General features: G+C 48.7%; 3 pseudogenes; 2 read left to right on the forward strand and 1 right to left on the reverse strand.

Annotated features, from left to right (window-relative positions):
- The first annotated feature begins 63 nt into the window (after positions 1 to 63).
- LOC105379556 (putative uncharacterized protein FLJ46235) lies at positions 64 to 1,228 on the forward strand (annotated as a pseudogene).
- A 4,877-nt stretch (positions 1,229 to 6,105) lies between these two features.
- On the reverse strand, positions 6,106 to 12,098 carry LOC102723681 (protein capicua homolog; annotated as a pseudogene).
- On the forward strand, positions 11,943 to 18,426 carry LOC105379555 (60S ribosomal protein L23a-like; annotated as a pseudogene).
- The last annotated feature ends 2,893 nt before the right edge of the window (positions 18,427 to 21,319 follow it).

A 21,319-nucleotide genomic window follows, 5' to 3' on the forward strand; every position in this document is an offset into this window, starting at 1 on the left:
CTTCTGTCTACTGTCGGACTCTACAGGTCAGCCTCTGCCTCACAGTGGACCCTCCAGACCCAGATGGTGTCTCACTGTGGCATCCTCAGGCGAAGCTCCTGCCTTTCGGCAGCCTCTCCAGGCCCAGCTCCTCCTGCCTCCCAGTGGCCTCTTTCGGCCCAGCCCAGCTCATGCCTCCCGGCAGCCTTCCCAAGCCCCGCTTTTGACTTTCGGTGGCCTCTGCAGGCCTCGACAAGGCCCAGCCTCCTGCCTCCCGAAGGCCTGCACAGGCCCAGCCTCTGCCTCACAGCGGACTCTCCACGCCCAGCTAGCTGTTGCTTCACTGCGGCCTCCCGAGTCCAAAGCTCCTGCCTCTCGGCCGCTTCGGCAGGCCCAGCTCCCGCCTGCCAGTGGCCTCTTCAGGCCCATGGGGCTCATTCCTGACAACGGCCTTTCCAGGCCCAGTTTTTCCCTTCCGGCGGCCTCCCTGGGCCCAGAACCTCCTCAAGTCGGCCTCTCCAGACCCACTTGCACCCTCCGGGCGTCCTCTCCGGGCCCAGCTCTTCTTCCTGGTTGGGTCTCCAGGCCCGATTCCTGCCTCTCAACAACCTCTTTGGACTCAGTGCCTACCCATCTCCTGGCGGCCTTGGTCGGCCCACAGCTTCCTCAAGCCAAGCTCCCCAGGCCCAGGTCAGGCCTCACGGTGGCCTCTCCAGGATGAGCTCCTGCCCTCCGATGGCATCTCCAGGCCCCAAATGGTCTCCGGTCGGTGGGCTCCTCCACGCCAAGGTTGGGCCTCCCGGCGACCGCCGCAGGCCCAAGTTGTCCTGAAGTCGGGCTCTCCCGGCCCTGCCTCCCAGCAAGTAAGCAAGCTCTTTTGGCTCAACTCCTGCCCAGCTCCCAGCCGCCTTTGTAGGCCCCGAACTTTCTCCAGCCAAGCTCTGAGGGCCCACCTCCTGCCTCCTGGTGGCCTGTACAGTTCTAGCACTGGTTGGAGAACAGCCTCTGCAGGCCCCACCCTTGCCTCCCAGGGGCCTCTCCAGGCCCAGCTCTTGCCCCCACGGCGGCCTCCCGGGGCCAAGTCCCTGCCTGCCTCCCAGCAGCCCGCGTGTGGCCCAGCTCCTCCCTCACGGTGGCCTGTTGATGCCCAACTCATGCCTCTGGTACCCTGCCCAGAGGCGTGAGCCCCTGCCTCACACTGGCCCCTCCCACGCTGAGAGAGGTCAGTGTGAGCCCTTGCCTCACACCGGCCCCTCCCACGCAGACAGAGGTCAGCGTGAGCCCCTTGCCTCACACCGGCCCCTCCCACGCTGAGAGAGGTCAGTGTGAGCCCTTGCCTCACCCCGGCCCCTCCCATGTGGACAGAGGTCAGCGTGAGCCCCTTGCCTCACACCGGCCCCTCCCACGCTGAGAGGTCAGTGTGAGCCCTTGCCTCACACCGGCCCCTCCCACGCGGACAGAGGTCAGCGTGAGCCCGTTGCCTCACACCGGCCCATCCCACGCTGAGAGAGGTCAGTGTGAGCCCTTGCCTCACCCCGGCCCCTCCCACGTGGACAGAGGTCAGCGTGAGCCCCTTGCCTCACACCGGCCCCTCCCACGCTGAGAGAGGTCAGTGTGAGCCCTTGCCTCACACCGGCCCCTCCCACGCGGACAGAGGTCAGCGTGAGCCCCTTGTCTCACACCGGCTCCTCCCACGCTGAGAGAGGTCAGTGTGAGCCCTTGCCTCACACCGGCCCCTCCCACGCGGACAGAGGTCAGCGTGAGCCCCTTGCCTCACACTGGCCCCTCCCACGCTGAGAGAGGTCAGTGTGAGCCCTTGCCTCACCCCGGCCCCTCCCACGTGGACAGAGGTCAGCGTGAGCCCCTTGCCTCACCCCGGCCCCTCCCACGCTGAGAGAGGTCAGTGTGAGCTCTTGCCTCACACCGGCTCCTCCCACGCGGACAGAGGTCAGTGTGAGCCCCTTGTCTCACACCGGCCCCTCCCATGCTGAGAGAGGTCAGTGTGAGTCCTTGCCTCACACCGGCCCCTCCCACGCGGACAGAGGTCAGCCCGAGCCCCTTGTCTCACACCGGCCCCTCCCATGCTGAGAGAGGTCAGTGTGAGCCCTTGCCTCACACTGGCCCCTCCCACGCTGAGAGAGGTCAGCCCGAGCCCCTTGCCTCACACCGGCCCCTCCCACGCTGAGAGAGGTCAGCCCGAGCCCCTTGTCTCACACCGGCCCCTCCCACGCGGACAGAGGTCAGCGTGAGCCCCTTGCCTCACACCGGCCCCTCCCACGCTGAGAGAGGTCAGCCCGAGCCCCTTGCCTCACACCGGCCCCTCCCACGCTGAGAGAGGTCAGCGTGAGCCCTTGCCTCACACCGGCCCCTCCCACGCGGACAGAGGTCAGCCTGAGCCCTTGCCTCATACTGGCCCCTCCCACGCTGAGAGAGGTCAGCGTGAGCCCTTGCCTCACACCGGCCCCTCCCACGCGGACAGAGGTCAGCGTGAGCCCCTTGCCTCACACAGGCCCCTCCCACGCTGAGAGAGGTCAGTGTGAGCCCTTGCCTCACACCGGCCCCTCCCACGCGGACAGAGGTCAGCCTGAGCCCCTTGCCTCACACCGGCCCCTCCCACGCTGAGAGAGGTCAGTGTGAGCCCTTGCCTCACACCGGCCCCTCCCACGCGGACAGAGGTCAGCGTGAGCCCCTTGCCTCACACCGGCCCCTCCCACGCTGAGAGAGGTCAGTGTGAGCCCTTGCCTCACACCGGCCCCTCCCACGCGGACAGAGGTCAGCGTGAGCCCCTTGCCTCACACCGGCCCCTCCCACGCTGAGAGAGGTCAGTGTGAGCCCTTGCCTCACACCGGCCCCTCCCACGCAGACAGAGGTCAGCGTGACCCCCTGCCTCAACAGGCCACCGTGAGGGAGGAACAGGATCGCACTCGGGCTGCTGGGAGGTAGGCAGGGACTTGGGCCTGGGAGGTCGCGGTGGGGCGAGAGCTGGGCCTGGAGACTCCCCTGGGAGGCAACAGCGGGGTCTGCAGACGCCCTTCTCCAGCCGGAGCTGGGACTGTTCAGTGACTGGGAGAAGGGATGTGGGTCTGAAGAGCTTGGTTGCAGAAACTTCGGGGTCTACAAACGCAGGCGGGAGCTGAGCCAAAAGAGCTTGTTTGCTGGGAGGTGGGAGATGCAGCCAGGAGGAACAGCTGGGCAATGCGGGAGGCAGAGGCCAGGCCTCCTCAAGTTGGCCTCTCAGACCCACTTGCAGCCTCCCGGCGCCCCCTCCGGGCCCAGCTCTTCCTCCCGGCTGCATCTCCAGGCCGGACTCTGGCCCGACTCCAGGTCCCAACAACGTCTTTGGACTCAGCTCCTGCCCAGCTCCCAGCGGCCCTGGTAGGCCCACAACTTCCCTAAGCCAAGCTCCCCAGGCCCAGCTCAGGCCTCGTGGTGGCCTCTCCAGGCTCAGCTCCTGGCCCTCCGATGACATCTGCAGGCCCCAAATGGCCTCCGGTCGGTGGGCTCCTCTAGGCCCAGCTTGGGCCTCCCGGCGGCCTTCGCAGGCCCAAATCATCCCGAAGTCAGTCTCTCCAGGCTTAGCTCCAGCCTCCCGGCGGCCTCTGCAGGCCCAAGTCGTCCTCAAGTCGGCCTGGAAGTGGGCCTGGAAGAGCAGCAAGTCGGCCTCCCTGGGCCCAGCTCTGTCCTCTCGACGGCCTCTCCAGGTGCAAAACTTCCTCGAGTCAGCCTCTCCAGGCCCAGCTCCTCCTGCCTCCCAGTGGCCTCTTTCGGCCCAGCCCAGCTCATGGCTCTTGGCGGCCTTCCCAGGCCCCGCTTTTGACTTTTGGCAGCCTCTTCAGGTGCAGAACTTGATCTCCAGTCGGCCTTTGCAGGCCCGGCCTCCTGCCTCTCGAAGGCCTGCACGGGCCCGGCCTCGGCCTCGGCCTCACAGCGGACTCTCCACGCCCAGCTAGCTCTCGCCTCACTGCGGCCTCCCCAGTCCAAAGCTCCTGCCTTTCGGCCACTTCGGCAGGTCCAGCTCCTGCCTGCCAGTGGCCTCTTTAGGCCCAGCTCATTCCTCACGTCGGCCATTCCAGGCCCCGTTTTTCCCTTCCGGCAGCCTCTTGGCCTCTAATTTGTTTATCTTTTGTGTATAAATCCCAAAATATTGAATTTTGGAATATTTCCACCATTATGTAAATATTTTGGTAGGTAATTTATTTGGAGTGAGTTTCTGCGCCAAGCCCGAATTTTTTATTTTATTTTCCTTATTATTTGGTGTTAAACAGGTTTAATGACGGTCATGGCAACTTTTTGGCACAATGAAAAATATCGCCCACGATCGACGTGTTCTGTTCTGGGGAAGGGGGCAAAGGCAGGGTGAATCACTTTCTTAAAAAGTATAGCTCAAGTTGGGAGTGCAGAGGGAATGGGGAGAAAACCCTCCCGCTGCCTGTGTCGAAGTGCAGGAGCCCCCACCCCCATACTCACCTGAGTCCAGCCCCTCTGGGGAAAGAAGGGGTGCATGAACTCCCCCTAGTCCACAGGCGCCTCCCTGTGGCCCAAGGCCCTCTTCACACTCCATCTTGTAGCCCCAGCAGGAGCTATTTTCCGAAAAATGAAAAGCTCTGAAGGTCCCACAATTCATGGTATGTACAGGGGCTCGGAGGAGGGAAACTGCCCAGCTTTCCCCCGGCACAGCTGCAGGGGTAGGGGGTATAGATAAGAGGAGCAGGCCTTGGCCAGGCGTGGTGGCTCACGCCTGTAATCCCAGCACTTTGGGAGGGGGAGGCAGGCAGATCACGATGTCAGGAGATCGAAATCAGCCTGGCCAAGATGATGAAGCCCCGTCTGTACTAAAAATACAAAAATTAGCCGGACGTGGTAGCGTCCACCTGTAATCCTAGCTACCCGGAAGGCTGAGGCAGGAGAATGGCGTGAACCCGGCTGGAAGAGGTTGCAGTGAGCCAAGATCGCACCACTGCACTCCAGCCTGGGCGACAGAGCAAGACTCGGTCTCAAAAAAAAAAAAAAAAAAAAAAAAAAAAGAGGAAGGCCTTACTCCATCCCAAACTGAAAGGATTAAATGGCTTCACCTGGGAGAAGATAACCATCCTGCCCTCCATTGCTACCCCCACATACTGTCCATGTTCTCAGGGGGTACTGTGAGTCCTGGGATCTTTGGGGTTGCCCACCTGCCTGTGGTAGTTATGGAGACCCCCAGGTGTTGAGGCAGGGCTGGGGTGTCCCCTTCCAACCAGGCTGTCAAGGCCCCAACTCTGGGGCAGAGGCAGTGGCAGGGCAGCCAGGGTTGTGCCAGAGCCTGAGCAGGTTGAGGTGGGGTCAGGCAGGGCTGGGAGTCAGGGCAGGGGCAGCAGCAGTGGACCTGCTATGCACACATCTTCTTCTCCAAGGTTTGTGTGCAGAACATCCTGCCCATGCTGCCCCAGCAGCTTCAGTTGGCACCTGCCTCAGTCCAGCCTCTGGGAACCATGCAGCAGCTCCCAGCGGCCCTGCACCCACCACCAGCATCCGTTTCACCTGCAGTTGAAGATCCGTGAGGTGCCCAGAAGATCATGCAGTCATCAGTCCCACGGAGCAGCCCGCGAGGCTGAGGCTCCTCCCACTGGACCGCCCCCCAACTGGCACCACTGCTGCCCCTGCCCCTACTCTCAGCCTCACGTGACTCTCGGGCAGAAGCAGTGGTGGGGCAGCCAGGGCAGCGTCAAGAGTCTGAGCCAGGTGAGTTGCGGTCAGGACCCCCACAGGGCTGGGAGTCAGGGCAGGGGCAGAACAAACCTTGGAGGGGAAGATGTGTGCATAGTGGGCCTGGAGGGCGGCTGTGGCCTAGTGGACAGGAAGAAGCAGTGGGCCTGGAAGAGCTGCATGATCAGGGCCGGCACTGGTCCAGGGTACGTGCAGTGAAGAGGACAGCGCCTTCTCGGTCTCCGGTTCCCTGAGCCTGTCCTCGGCTTCTCCACCTGTACAGGCAAAGGGGAAGCTGTCCCCATCACACATGGCACACTTGGGGGTGTTGGGCTTTGGACTGCAGCTGGAGCATCTTCTCATCTTGCATTTGGGCGCGGTGGGGTCCTCCAGTGTGGGATCCATGTCCGTGGGGTTCCCTCTGCCCCGACCCCGAAAGCCCAGTCAGTTTCTCTTCAGGCTCTGCTCCCCGGGTGGCTCAGCCCAGCTCCTGCCTAGGAAAGCCTTAGTGTTGGGAGGGACCCTGATGACTGAGGAGCCTGGTAGCTCCAGGTCACCCACACTTTCAGGTCTCTTGCACCAGAAGGTGGCAGGATCCATTGGGAGGAAACAGGCCACCTTGGAAGGTGTCCCTGGGCCCCCATCCCCAGGGGTTGGGGCCGTAGGGGGCCCGCTCTGCTGCGTTGACCAGACTCCTGGGCTTTGAAGGCTCCTGGGCCCAGTAAGAAGGAGGTGGGTGCCAAGGTTGGGGAGGAAGCATCCGAGTATGTGTAGGAGGAGGACAGGGTGTGACCATAGACTGCCAAAAGCTGCAGGTGGATCGGGGGACCCTGGGGGCTCAGGATCCAGCAAGGGGCGGCAGGAGTAAAGGAGGAAGGAATGACAGGTGCAAATACCTTCCCACCAAAGCCCTTGTTGCCCTCTGGCTCCTCCCCAGAGTTGTCCCCACTCTCAGTCGGTCACCCACTCCTTGAACTTGAGATCGGTGTTGGTGGTGCTAAAGCCATCATCAGCAATGACATCATCACCCCCTCCTCCTCATGGATGACCGTGTGCTCTTCGTCACTCGCTATGACCTCGCTGGCCATGTGCTGGGAATGAGCAGCTCACGTGGGCGGCAGCAGGGCTGCCCACGGGTCACCTCCCTCACCAGGGGCTGCAAAGTGGCCTGGAGCTCCATGCTGAGTAGAAGGCTTTGGGCCAGAGTATGATGCAGTGCCAGACACCACCTGTGTCAGTTCCCGTAGTGCCTGACGGTCTATTTCCCTGCCGTCCAGGCTGTGTACCCCGCTGTGGGAGAAGGCTTGGGCCAGGCTGAGCCAGGTTCCCTGACTGTGTGCAGCCGTTCTGCCCCACAGAAGCTGCTCCTTGGTATCCGAGCTCTGGAGTGTTTGGGCTGCAACTGACAGGAGTTCAGAGGACACCCCAGGGGCAGTGGCAGTGCCCGTCTCTGATATGCTCCGCTCCCACGAGCCCTTGTTACACTCCTGCTAGCCCCTGGCTTGTGGGCTTGGCCTCTGAGCTGGACTTCTTTTGGTCCTTGTTGCAAGTGGGCCACCTTCACCTGGAAGGCCAGGTTGTATTTCTGCATCTCATTGGGCCCCAGGGTGTACCACCGCTCGCTCAGCATCTGGCTGACGGTCCGGTTATCCTGGTTGGGGTGACCCTGGTGCGCCCCGCCAGGGCCTGGTGCCGCCTGCTGAAGATCATGAGCGCCACTCATGGGCCACCGGATGTGGTCCTTGTCCGATTTGTTGGGGCTGCGTCCATCCTTCTCAGAAGATGAGTCCTGTTCCTTGCGCAGGGCACTGAGGGACTGGGCCTGACATCATCTGAGTGGTAGAGGCAACTGGGTGTCAGGAGACATGATGGAGAGGAAAGCATCATCATGGTCATTCTCTGTCTCACTGTCCAGCAGGGACTCCCCTGAGGGGCCCAGGGCTCCTCCTCCATGGTGGGAGGTGAGCTTTTACCAGGTTCCACCACCCCCAAAGTGTGTGGGGTTGCGGGCCCTGGGCTTTCAGGGCAGGTGGCTCCAGGGGGCCGCCCAGGGTCAACACTCCCTGTCCCACCTGGTGGACGCTCATGAGCAACGGCTGCCAACTTGGCAGGTTGTTTTCTCTGGTTGGAGGCCACTGAGTGACTGGCAGGTTGCTGGGCCTCGTGTGGCTGCAGGGAGGGGTCAGGAAGGGGATGGAGTACCAGGAGAACACGGCCGCAGAGTGACCTTCCACATTCCTCCACACGAACATGCTGACGCCACGGGAGGCCTCACTGAACGCAGGCCTGGGGGCCGAGCACTTGGTCCGGGCGGGGGGTTCCTGGCAGGGGCTCACACCTCCTCACCCCCTCCTCAGCCAAGGTGGCTTGGGCCCAGAGAAGGGGAGGTTGGAGAGGAGCAGAAGGCCAGGCCTCAAGTTTTGTTTTTTTTGTTTGTTTTGTTTTTTGTTTTTGAAATGTAGTTTGACTCTTGTCACCCAGGCTGGAGTGCAGTGGCACGATCTCAGTGGCCTTCATACCTGGCTAATTTTTTGTATTTTTACTGGAGGTGGGGTTTTGCCATGTTGGCCAGGCTGGTCTTGACCTCCCGACCTCAGGTGATCCACCCACCTCAGCCTCCCAAAATGGGATTACAGGCATGAGCCACCACTCCCAACTTCATTCATTTTTACTTGAAAAACTCCGTTAAGCATTTTTTTAAGGTAGACCTAGTGGTCCTGAATGCCCTCAGCTTTGTTTGTCGAGGAAACACGTTATTTCTTTTTCCTTTCTGAAGGACAGCTTTGTCAGACATAGTATTAGTTGCTGGCAGTTTTTTTCTTTCAGCACTTTGAATGTATTATTCGATTCTGTCCTGACCTGCAAAGTTTCTTTAACTTTTGACTATTTGATTATATTGTGACTTGGTGAGTATCTATTTGGTTTGAACCTCTTTAGGAATCTTTAAGCTTCATGGATTTAGATGTCTAAATCTTTCCCATGATTTAGGCAGTTGTCAGCCATTCTTTAAATAAGCTTTATTCTCCTTTCTCTACTTTCCTTCTCAAACTCCCATAACCTGACAATGGTTTGCTTAATGGTGTCTTGTTGGCTTTCTTTTCTCTGTCTCTTTTTTTTTTCTTTTTGAGACAGAGTCATGCTCTGTCACCCAGGCTGGAGTGTAATGTGTGGTCTCGGCTCACATTGCACTCCAACCTCCGCCTCCTGGGTTCAAGCGATTCTCCTGCCTCAGCCTCCCAAGTAGCTGGGACTACAGGTGTGTGCCACCACACCCGGCTAATTTTTGTATTTTTAGTAGAGATGGGGCTTTGTCATGTTGGACAGGCTGGTCTTGAACTCCTGACCTCTTAATCTGCCTGCCTCGGCCTCCCAAAGTGCTGGGATTACTGGTGTGAGCCACCACGCCTGGTCCAAGAACCCAACTTTTAGATCTAGAGTGATGTCAGCATGACATTGATTTCCTGAGGCCCAGGGTTGAAGGAGCTGAGGACAGCAGAGGGGTGAAGGAAGTCAGCTACAGACAGCAGCAGCTGATGCACAGGCCTCCCAGTGCCTGAAGTCACCCGGAATTGGGAAGTGCTCAGAAGCTTACAAAGCTGCCTCGAGGTGGGAACACAACATTAATCCAAGAGCAGATCCCTGATCCTATAAAAATGTACTAGATGCAGTGGGGGCATTTTAAATGAGCAGGGAAGGACAGACAGATAAACAGAAGGACAAACAGTATTGGGATTGGGATAAATGCTCAGCTTTTGCCCAAATCTTAGTGACTTAAGCATCACTTATTTGCTCACGATTCTGTGGCTGGACCGTTTGGTTTGGCTCACAGGGCAGGGACTGTGCTGGTCTTACCTGAGCAGACCTGCGTGTCTGCGGTCAACTGGGTTGGCAGAGACAGAGTGACTGTCTTCCTCCAGGAAGCAGCAGGTTAACTGGTTGGCAGAGACAGAGGGACTGAGGGACTGTCTCCCTCCAGGAAGCAGCAGGTTAACTGGTTGGCAGAGACAGAGGGACAGAGGGACTGTCTTCCTCCAGGAAGCAGCAGGTTGGCTCTGGTTCCTTCGTGGGGCAGCTGGTCTCCAGGGCAGCAAGAGAGACCAAGCCCCCGTGCACATTCTACAGCCTCTGTGCACATCAGACTTGTTAATATCCCATTGGCCAGTGCAAGTCACACGGCCAAGCCCAGATTAAGGAGTGGAAAGATGGACGCTATCTCCTCCTGGGAGAGGAGGCAAAGGAGGTGAGAGCATTATGTGGCCACTTATGTTTGCAATCTACCATACTTAGCCCTTTGAGAAAAGAATTAACTGAGAAACTTGCTTCAAATAGGGCATTCAGTAAAATGAAGCCCCAATTGAAGTAAAATGCATATATAAAAAATGAAACTGTGACCGATTTTAAGGACAGTATTGGCAAATATTTCTGTGCTCTTGGAGGAGAAGACCCTTATTGGCATGACATGTCAGAGACCACAATGAAAGAATTATTTTAACTTGCATTCATAAAAATTAAAATTATTCATTAAAAACATCGTGAATGAAATTAAAAGTCAAAATGTAAGCCAGAAAATTATTTACAACATATGTGTCAGGAAAAGACAATACACTTCAGACTTTGAGAGTTTACATCAGAAAGAAAATAGCAAATGACATGATCCAAACTTGATAAAGGACATGAAAAAGAGCCAGCACTTAGTATGTTTTCTGAATGAATAAGTAGCCAACAGCACATGAAAATGTGTGTAATCCACTTGTAAGCAGAGAAATGCAAATTAAAACAGTAAAGTGTCATTTTCACTTCCTGGATTGGCAAAGGGTTTTATGTATTTTACTGACAGTGCTCAACATTAGCAGTAAACAACAAATGGTGAGTAAATATGAGCTTCGGAACCTCAGGGAAATGATCTCCTTATTTCAACCTGCAGATTCCTTCCTACAACCAGTGTAGAGCAGAGTACCAGGACGGGCCATTGAGCACCCTGGTGTTGAGATCAAGTGGCCTCTAGTCAGAGTTGGGTCAGGGCCACTGTGAGTGGGCTGCCCCCAACATGAGTCAGCTGTCTAGGACTAGTTTATCTCTGCTTCTCACTTTACTGGTATTATGGGGCAGCTCCTGCTGTCTTCCAATTTGGTGTCTTCCAAATCGGCACCGTCTTTTAAAGTTGAGTTTCTTGTTATTCTCACCTGATATACCTTATTTATCCCACACCCACCCCAATAACATATCGTGCTCAGTGTTATCTTTGAGACAACACTTGAATTTTACTCAGCCTGGAGCGCTCTTCACATGTCTTGTCCAGATCCAGTTCGGACTCATTCTTCAGCCGTGCATCAGTAAATGGGGGCTAGGTTAAACTGTGGTGACAAACAACCTCCAAATTTCAGTGGCTCAAAAATCTTCTTCCTCATTTATTTACATTTCATCATGGGTCAGGTGAGAGGTAGCTCTGTGCTGTGTCATCCTAACACAGGAATCCAGACGGAAGGAGGGACAATCAATAAGATCCCCATTGCTATAGAAAAGAGAAAAAAGTATGCGGAATAGCACTCTGTTTCTTGGAGATTTCTCCTGAAAAAGTCACATGTTATTTCTTCTCACCTCCATTGGCAAAAAAAAAGTCATGTGGCCATGTGAAAATGTAAGTAGGCGGGATGGAACAGTCAGAATGCATTCATAAAATATGAACTGAAAATATCTGGAGAACAGCACCTATGACTACCACGAATGCCAACATGCATCCCTAACAACCCAGTGCTGTCACCCTCCAAACTTTTTATGTCTTGCAAAGTATTAGAACTTCTTATCTGAAGCCATACCACTCAGAGGGAATGCAAAATACATATTGACATCTCCTTTAGGATGTCCTTAGAGAATTCAAGGAAAAGAAGTTAAATAATTTAAAAGTGCTTTTGGGTACAGCTATTTAGCACTAGAGGGTAAGATTAGACATAGATTGTAAAGATAATAATAGGGTTAGGGATAGGATTAGGATCTGGGTCAGAGTCAGGGCCAGAAGTATGGTTAGAGGTGGGGTCATGGTCAGGGTCGAGATCAAAGTCAGGGTCAAAGTAAGGGTCAGAATTAGGGACCAGGATAGGGATCAAGATTTAGGTTCAGTGTCAAAGTCTTGGGACAAGGTTAGGGTTAGAATTAGAACCAGAGCTTTGTTCTCCTCAGGTCCCACCCGAGGGTGGGTCACCATGGCTTTGGAGCACCTGGTAGTGTGGTGTGTCCACAGTGAAGACCAGAGTTTCGTTGTCCTTAAGACTGACCTGGGAGACGTGGCTGCAGGCCATTGAGGAAGGTGAGGCAACAGCTTCCTGTCTGCTCCCCGTGTGCTGAGGAGGGAGTTCTGCCATGGGCTTTACTTTCACATGTTATATTCCACAAGTCTTGTTTTACAAAAGCATCCCTTCCTTGAGGCTTCGGCTGCTCATCGCTGCTCATCATCATAGCGTGCCATAACATATAGTAAGATTTGGGTTTGTTTCTGGGGAGATATCTTGGTATAGAGAAAGGAGAAATGCTTAGAGCCACCATCAGGACAGTTGGGATGAAAGTTGGGTATAGGCAGAGGCTGGAGGAAACATGTGCATCCCCTGTAAACACTTTTATTCATGTTTTAATTACTCATTTTTCTTACAGTGTTAAATTAGTAAAGATAGTATTGAAAAATTGAAAAGTAGGCATATTAAAACTTGCAACACTATTTAAGCCTAGATATATTATTTGTACCTCATCAACATTTTTTATTGTGTTGAGAAAGTTTAAGGTTAATTGACAGCATATTTCTAATAGTAGATAGAATAACATCCCTTTTATAAACATTGACATCCTACATTACATGTGTGAACCCTGAAAATCTGAGACAGCTCTCAGATTTTTTAGAAAGTTTATTTTGCCAATCTTGAGGATGTGCGCCTGTGATGCCTCCTCAGGAGATCCTGACAACATGGGCCCAAGGTGGTCGGGGCACAGCTTGGTTTTATACACTTTAGGGAGACACGAGAGATCAATCAATACGTGTAAGATGTACATTGGTTCAGTCCAGAAAGGTGAGAAGGCCAGACAGGGGGCTTCCAGGTCACAGGTAGGTAAGAGACAAATGGTTTCATTCTTTTGCATTGCTGATTACCCTCTCCATGTGAGGCAATCAGGTATGCATTTATCTAGGTGATCAGACGGGTGTCTTTGGATAGAATGGGAGGCGGGTTTGCCCTAAGCAGTTCCCAGCTTGACTTTTCCCTTTAGCTTAGTGATTTTGAGTCCCCAAGATTTATTTTCCCTTCGTAAGTGTTCCTATGAGTATTAATTATTCATTGTGTCTTTTATTACACAAATAAGGCACAGATTTTTAAGAAATCATCAACTTCATGGCTACCTATATAGACATAATTACACAGAAGCTCAACTAAATTTGCAAACATTCCAGAGTTTGGGTTTCCAATAATTCTTTGTGATTCTTTAAAAGGTAAAGTATTTTTTCCCATAAAACATAGCAACATTTAAAATCACCCGTAGAATGTCCCGCCATTTTTGTTTTTCTAGTTTCCTCATTTTCTGCAAATCCTCGCTGAGGAAATTGACTTTGAATATCCTTTTAGACTCTTTTGTTTTAGAAAGCATTGTGGTAAAACATTGAATCATCATGGTCATAAGTTCTGTTCACATTCTTTCTTTCTTTGAATATTTTTTCCCAGTGGCCAATATTTGATTCTGTTGTATTATGGCTAAAAGGTAGGCATGGGAACAAAATAAAGACAAGAAGTCTTTGGAATAATTGATCCCATCACAATGAATCAATTTGCCATTGGAACATGTTTTTACAAAGTCACTCTTTTGAAAATATTCAGCTATGACTTGAAACAGAGTCTGTATGGTTAATATTTTTCCTGGTCTAAGGTGAACAGCATTTTAGAGAATGAACCCAGGACACAACCACAGCACAAGAAAAAAATATGATAATTAAGTTTACACATATTGTTACTACTGTAACAGAAAACATGTAAAGGACATTTGTTTTGATTTATATATCAGTCTGCACTGTTTAATTTTTTGTGTCATAATTGCTCTTATTTTAAAAAACAGGACTAGTTAACAGTGTCAATTACTAGTAATTCATGGTATAAATAATTAAACAAGGAAGTGTTAAAAAAACAGTGTTTTAAATAAAGTTTTATTTTACGTCTTTTTTTTACTTACACAGAAATCGTCAAAAAAAAAAAGCAGAGATTTCCCATGTAGCCGCAACCTAGTTTCCTCTCTTATTAACATCTTCTATCAGTGTGTCTCACATGGCTTATTAATATCTTACATAATTTGCCGCAGTTAATGAACCAATACTGATAGACTGTTATTAACTGAAGTTCATATTTCATTTGGATTCCCTTAGTTCTATCTTACTCTGACCCAGGATCCCATCCAGGATCCCGCACGACATGTAGTCATCACATAAGCTCTTCCTGGCTGTGACAGTGTGTCAGGCTTTCCATCTCATGATGACCTTCATAGCACTGAGGAGGATTGGTCAGGAATTTTGTAGAATGCCCCCCATTGTCACTTCATGTTCTCAAGGTGAACTGTCAGCTTTGATATTCACTTGGATCATTTGGCAGAGCTACTGTTTGTCAGATTTCTCCACTGTGAAGTTATTTTTCCTCCTTGTCCGTACTGCATGTGTTCTTTTGGAGCAAGTCACTATGCAGAGCCCACACTTACGGAGTGAGGAGTTGGCTCCACCTTCTTGATGGCTGAGTGTCTACATCAGTTATTTGGAATTCTTTTGCAAAGGAGATTTCTATGCAACTCCATTTGCTTATTCACCTAGGTATACAAATACAGACACCTAGATAATTACTTTAAGCTTTAGTTATTATTCGACACTATAGCATTATGTTGCACAATTCCTTCCTGTGTTGGCCATCGGTAGCTGTTTTTATTGGCTTTTATTTTTGTTTGATATATTTTAATTTTTTTAGTACTTACTTTCTGATACTTCCAGATTATCCTGGCTCCTATATTTACTGTCCCAGTTCTAGTATCAGACATTTCTTCAAAGAGCCTGATTCCTTTCAGAATGGTGGGAAAACTTACATGTGGCTGTTGAATGCACATTGTATCTTGTCCCTCATTAGCAATGCTAGGAAGTATATGTGCGTGTCTAACCTACCTACACACACCTAATTATAAAGTTTTCTATGTAGATCTGTGTGTATCTATATTAAACTAAGCATAAGTTTACGTTGATGTCTCCACCTCTGATCTACTATCACAGGAATCATTCTAGCCTTCTCGTCTTGCTAATTTGTAACCTCCCACTTCAACAGTGAGAAAGCTGGTTCCCACCATCTGCGACTTATGTAAGTCATTGTTTTACTCCAGATACAGACACTGTGGTTTTACAATTGTTCACAATTGCTTCTGTTGGAAAGAACTTTATAAAATGGAATCCAATAATGAAGTATAGTTCATGTGCCTTCAGCCTACAGATTCTATTTATTTTCAAAGTTTTTACCTAGATTTGTGTCTTAGTCCATTTTGTGCTTCTGTAACAGAATACCTGAGGCTGCGTAATTTATAAGTAAAAAAGTTTCATTTGGTTCACATTTGGTGGCTGGAATGTCTGAGATTGGGCAGTTGCATCTGGCGGGGCCTCAGTCTTTTTCACCTCATGGTGGAAAGTGGAAGGGGAGCAAGGGGTGCACCAGAGATCACATAGCAGAAGTGAAAGCAAGAGGGAAGCCAAGGAAGCCAGACTCTTTTTAATTACCTGCTCCTGCAGGAATTATCTATTCCTGTGAGAACAGAACTCACTCACCCCCATGGAGGACATTAATCTATTCATGAGGGATCCGTCCCCACGACCCAAACACCGTCCACTAGGCCCCACCGCCCCACACTGACACAGTGGGAGTCAAATTTCAACATGAGTTTTTGTGGGGACAAACCACATCCAAACCATCGTAATTTGTAGCATAAATTCTTTTTCACATGATGTATTCTGTCCTGGGATACTCCACATCCTGAGTAATTTGATTTAATTTGAATAGAGTTTGCTTTAACCATTTGGCTGTAAAATTCTGCATATTTCGACAAATGCATTGTGGCAGATATCCCACTATTAAAGTATCATATGGAATGCCTCAAACCCCCACCCCATGGAGCCAATGGCTTCCCATCTGTGTAGTTTGCCTTCCCCAGTGTCTCATTAAATGAGGTCACACTGTGTGTATCCTCCTCAGACTGTCTTCTTCCACTTAGCAATGTGCATGCAAGATTCACTCATGTCTTTGTGTGTGTTGATATCTTGTTCCTTTCTATGGCTAAATAGTATTCCATTACATGAATGTAGCACAATTTGGTTATGCATTTTGGGGAGTAGAACCTTCCTCTTCTAACTTTGTTCCAGGGTTGGAGACCTTCAAATTAACTGACAATAGATACATTAGTAGGAGAGACAATACTTGGCTTCTTGTTCCCCAAGTATCATTGTGGGACAAAATTCATCAGATGGCAGGATCCAGTTTACAAAGAGGTAAAAATAGCCCAGAAACAAGAAACAAGACTAGAATCTGATAACTCACAATGGCTATAGTTTTCCTTTAAAAAAATTTTTTTTGAGACAGGGTCTGGCTCTATCGCCCAGGCTGGAGTGCAAAGGTGCAATGTCAGCTCACTGCAACCTCTACCTCCTGGGTGCAAACGATCCTCCCTCCTCAGCCTCCTGATTACCTGGGACTACAGGCACATGCCGTCATGCCCATCTAATTTTTGTATTTTTGGTAGAGACAGGGTTTCTACCAAAATATTCGATTTTTTCTGTGGCAGACAACATTTATTTATTTATTTATTTAGAGACAGAGTCTTGCTCTGTCGCCCAGGCTGGAGTGCAGCAGTGCGATCTCGGCTCACTGCAAGCTCTGTCTCCTGGGTTCACGCCATTCTCCTGCCTCAGCCTCCCGAGTAGCTGGGACTACAGGTGCCTGCCATCACGCCCGGCTAATTTTTTATATTTTTAATAGAGATGGAGATTCACCGAGTTAACCAGGATGGTCTGGATCTCCTGACCTTGTGATCCACCCGCCTCAGCCTCCTAAAGTGCTGGGATTATAGGCATGAGCCACTGTGCCTGGCACAACATTTAAAGTAATAATTGGAATTATGACTCATTACTCTATAGTAGCACATAGCATGGATAAGGAGGACATTGACAAACTTCCAGGAATTTTATATAATTTCTGAAAACATAACATTTTACCCATACAAATATAACACAGGGAAGGTTAGGTATCTCTTTTTATTTGTATCTTCTGTATGGTTTTCCTTATAAAAAATGCAACCTACTTTACTTGCGAAACATGCCCTACTTTTCTTGCATGCTTTGCATAGAGTTGTTTCTAGTTATTCTATTATTTCTAGTAGTTTTATTTACATATATTGATTATAATTTTAATACTTAGTAATCTTTTATTTTCCAGAGAAAACTAGGAAGTAGACAGTTATAAACTGTCATATATTAGCATTCTATAGTAGGTTAGAAAATGTATGAATATACCATCTCCCAACATCTAGAGGGATGTGTTTTCTCATAATACAATTCCTCAGTGTGGCAGAAAAAAACATGTTTATTAACGGGCCAAAATATCTTTAGTCTCTCTGTAAAAACAGGAAGCCAAAAGTATATAAACTTGAATTATTTATGTTCAGTAATTAATGTTTTAGTATTGTATCTTATTTATAAATGGTCTAGATATTTAATGCAAATCTTTTACTTAGCTTAACTTTAAGGTTAAAAATTACCAAAAGTACTTTGGAAACTATTCTTAGGCAGATTTACTGTAAACAAATTATTTTTGAAATAAAGTTTTTCGCTTTTCACAAGACGGCACCGAAAGCGAAGGAAGCTCCTGCTCCTCCTAAAGCCGAAGCCAAAGTGAAGGTTTTAAAGGCCAAGAAGGCAGTGTTGAAAGGTGTCCGCAGCCACACGCAAAAAAGAAGATCCGCATGTCACCCACCTTCAGGCGGCCCAAGACACTGCGACTCCGGAGGCAGCCCAGATATCCTCGGAAGAGCACCCCCAGGAGAAACAAGCTTGGCCACTATGCTATCATCAAGTTTCCGCTGACCACTGAGTCGGCCGGAAGAAGATAGAAGAAAACAACACGCTTGTGTTCACTGTGGATGTTAAAGCCAACAAGCACCAGATCAGACAGGCTGTGAAGAAGCTCTATGACAGTGATGTGGCCAAGGTCACCACCCTGATTTGTCCTGATAAAGAGAACAAGGCATATGTTCGACTTGCTCCTGATTATGATGCTTTCGATGTTGTAACAAAATTGGGATCATCTAAACTGAGTCCAGCTGGCTAACTCTAAATATATGTGTATTTTTTCAGCATAAAAAAATAATGTTTTTCATAAGAATGACAACTTAATTAGAATCAAATCTATAAGCTTTAAGATTTTACGTTTCTAGTAAGTATAATATTAGCTTATTTGACTAGAACTCAAGCAGAATAGGAATTTATGCTTGTTTTATATTCAATAATGATAATTTTGAAGATATAGTTGTTTTATTACACCAAAAATACTATATTAATCTTATTTAACTAAGTTTTATCCAAATCATGTTAACTTAAGAAACATTTGATCAGTTCCTATATTTCTAGGAGTTTGGTGAATATTTATTTATAAATGCTTATTTTTTTCCAAGCCAAGTTAGAATAGAGCACTTTTAGAGGATTTCATAAATGAATTTTGCAATGCTCTCTGGAGTTAAGAAAATATCACATATACATAACATACATTAATAGATATACAAACACAAATAGAGATTTCATAGCTTTCATCCTGAAATTTCAGCCATGAATCAGGCATAAATATTCTGATGGTTAATTTCAGACATCTTGATCCGATTGAGAGACACACATAGCTGGTCAAACACGATTTCAGCCATGAATCAGGCATAAATATTCTGATGGTTAATTGTAGACATCTACTTGACTGGATTAAGAGACACACATAGCTGGTCAAACAAGATTTCAGCCATGAATCAGGCATAAATATTCTGATGGTTAATTGTAGACATCTACTTGACTGGATTAAGAGACACACATAGCTGGTCTAACACGATTTCAGCCATGAATCAGGCATAAATATTCTGATGGTTAACTTTAGACATCTACTTGATTGGATTGAGAGACACACATAGCTGGTCAAACACGATTTCAGCCATGAATCAGGCATAAATATTCTGATGGTTAATTGTAGACATCTACTTGACTGGATTGAGAGACACACATAGCTGGTCAAACACGATTTCAGCCATGAATCAGGCATAAATATTCTGATGGTTAATTTTAGACATCTACTTGACTGGATTAAGGGACACACATAGCTGGTCAAACACAATTTCAGCCATGAATCAGGCATAAATATTCTGACGGTTAATTTTAGACATCTACTTGAGTGGATTAAGGGACACACATAGCTGGTCAAACACGATTTCAGCCATGAAGCAGGCATAAATATTCTGATGGTTAATTGTAGACATCTACTTGACTGGATTGAGAGACACACATAGCTGGTCAAACACGATTTCAGCCATGAATCAGGCGTAAATATTCTGATGGTTAATTGTAGACATCTACTTGAGTGGATTGAGAGACACACATAGCTGGTCAAACACGGTTTCAGCCATGAATCAGGCATAAATATTCTGATGGTTAACTTTAGGCATCTACTTGATTGGATTGAGAGACACACATAGCTGGTCAAACACAATTTCAGCCATGAATCAGGCATAAATATTCTGACGGTTAATTTTAGACATCTACTTGACTGGATTAAGGGACACACACAGCTGGTCAAACAATTTCAGCCATGAATCAGGCATAAATATTCTGACAGTTAATTTTAGACATCTACTTGAGTGGATTAAGAGACACACATAGCTGGTCAAACACGATTTCTGGGCATATCTATGAGGGTGTTTCTGGAAGACACTGAGATAACCATGACCCAATGTGGATGGGCACTGATATGGTTTGGCTGTGTCCCCACCCAGATCTCATCTTGAATTGTAGTTCCTGTAATACCTACATGTCGTGGGAGGGACCCAGTGGGAGGTGACTGAATCATGGTGGTGGTTACCGCCATGCTGTTCTCATGACAGTGAGTGAGTTCTCATGATCTGATGGTTTTATAAGGGGCTTTTCCCCTTTGGCTCAGCACTTCTTGTTGCTGCCATGTGAAGAGGGATAGCTTTGCTTCCCCTTCTGCCATGATTGTGAGGCCCCTGCAGCCATGTGGAACTGTCAGCCCATTAAACCCCTTTGTTCTTTATAAATTGCTCAGACTCAGGTATTTCTTCATAGCTGTATAAAAATGGATGAATACAGGCAGAATCCAATTGGTTGAGAGTCCAGATAGAATAACAAGGAAGAGGAAAGGTGAATTATCTCCTTCTGAAATGGAAACATCCTTCTTCTCCTGCCCTTGACATCAGAACTTCAGGGTCTCAGACCTTTGGCCTCACAATCAGAGTTACACCATTGGCTTCCCCGATTCTGAGTCCTTTGTATCTGGAGTGAGCCATGCTACCAGCTTTCCTGGTTCTCCAACTTGGAGACAGGCTATTGTGGAACTTCTCAGCCTCCATAATTATGTGAACCAGTTCCCCTAATGAATCTTCTCTCATCTATCTACATATATCCTATTGATTCTGCCTTTATGGAGAGCCCTGCCTAATGTGATTACAATAACTACAAAATTCACTAGTTTATATAGAAGACTTGGTTTTTGTCTTTGCCCCATTTTATATTTGTATTATAACTATGTATCTGGAAAATGGAACAAGTTTTTTCTTCTTCATATGAGGGCTAAGGCTTTTTTCTCACCAATATTTTTGGAGATTTTAAAGATTTTCTTTTTTTTTTTTTGACATAGAATCTTATGGAGGCTGAGAAATAATTTTTTTTCTATTTTATTCTTCAGCCCCAGGTGTTTGCTTTTGCAGATTCTTGAGCACATTGAGAGCCTCCAAGGCATGGAGTGGGGTGCCTGAAGTTTCAGTGATTATAGGGAGTTGAGAGACTCAACTGGGAAAGGAAAGGTCTAAAAGGAGGCAATTTGGAAAATAAAAATTTTCTCAAAGGAGCCATTAAAGTTGTAAATAATTCTTAGTAAAGTCATGCAAACAGGAAAAGAAGTAGAATTAGTTCCATATTGGTGGAACACATAGTCAGCAGAGGTTGGAGAAGGGAGAATTTAGTGAACTGAGAAGTTCCCATGAAAGCAGCAAGATCAAGATCACAGAGACACCTTGAAACAAAAAGCCAGGAATAACTTCCAACCCAAGAGGAGAACAGAGAGGCCTCAAAACCAAAGCTAGGATAAGAAACTTGTAGCCCAAGAGTTATCTTCCAGACAAAGAAGCCTGAGATTCCAACGCAGCTTCAGAGAGTGCTCACTCAAAATGTTACTGAAACTGTAGGCTTTTTAATGACTTAGCCATGCCTGCAAAAGGCATTCCCTAAGGTGGCACAGAAGACGGAGCCCCCATATCCAAAGATAGCCAAGGAGAAAGAAAGACCCCTGTTGCCAGAGCCAGTGGGAAAAGGCAACAGAAAAGGAGACAAGGGTCCTAATGGGATGAGATC

Source organism: Homo sapiens, unplaced genomic scaffold (genome assembly GCF_000001405.40).
Source record: "Homo sapiens unplaced genomic scaffold, GRCh38.p14 Primary Assembly HSCHRUN_RANDOM_CTG22".
Taxonomy (NCBI): domain Eukaryota; kingdom Metazoa; phylum Chordata; class Mammalia; order Primates; family Hominidae; genus Homo; species Homo sapiens.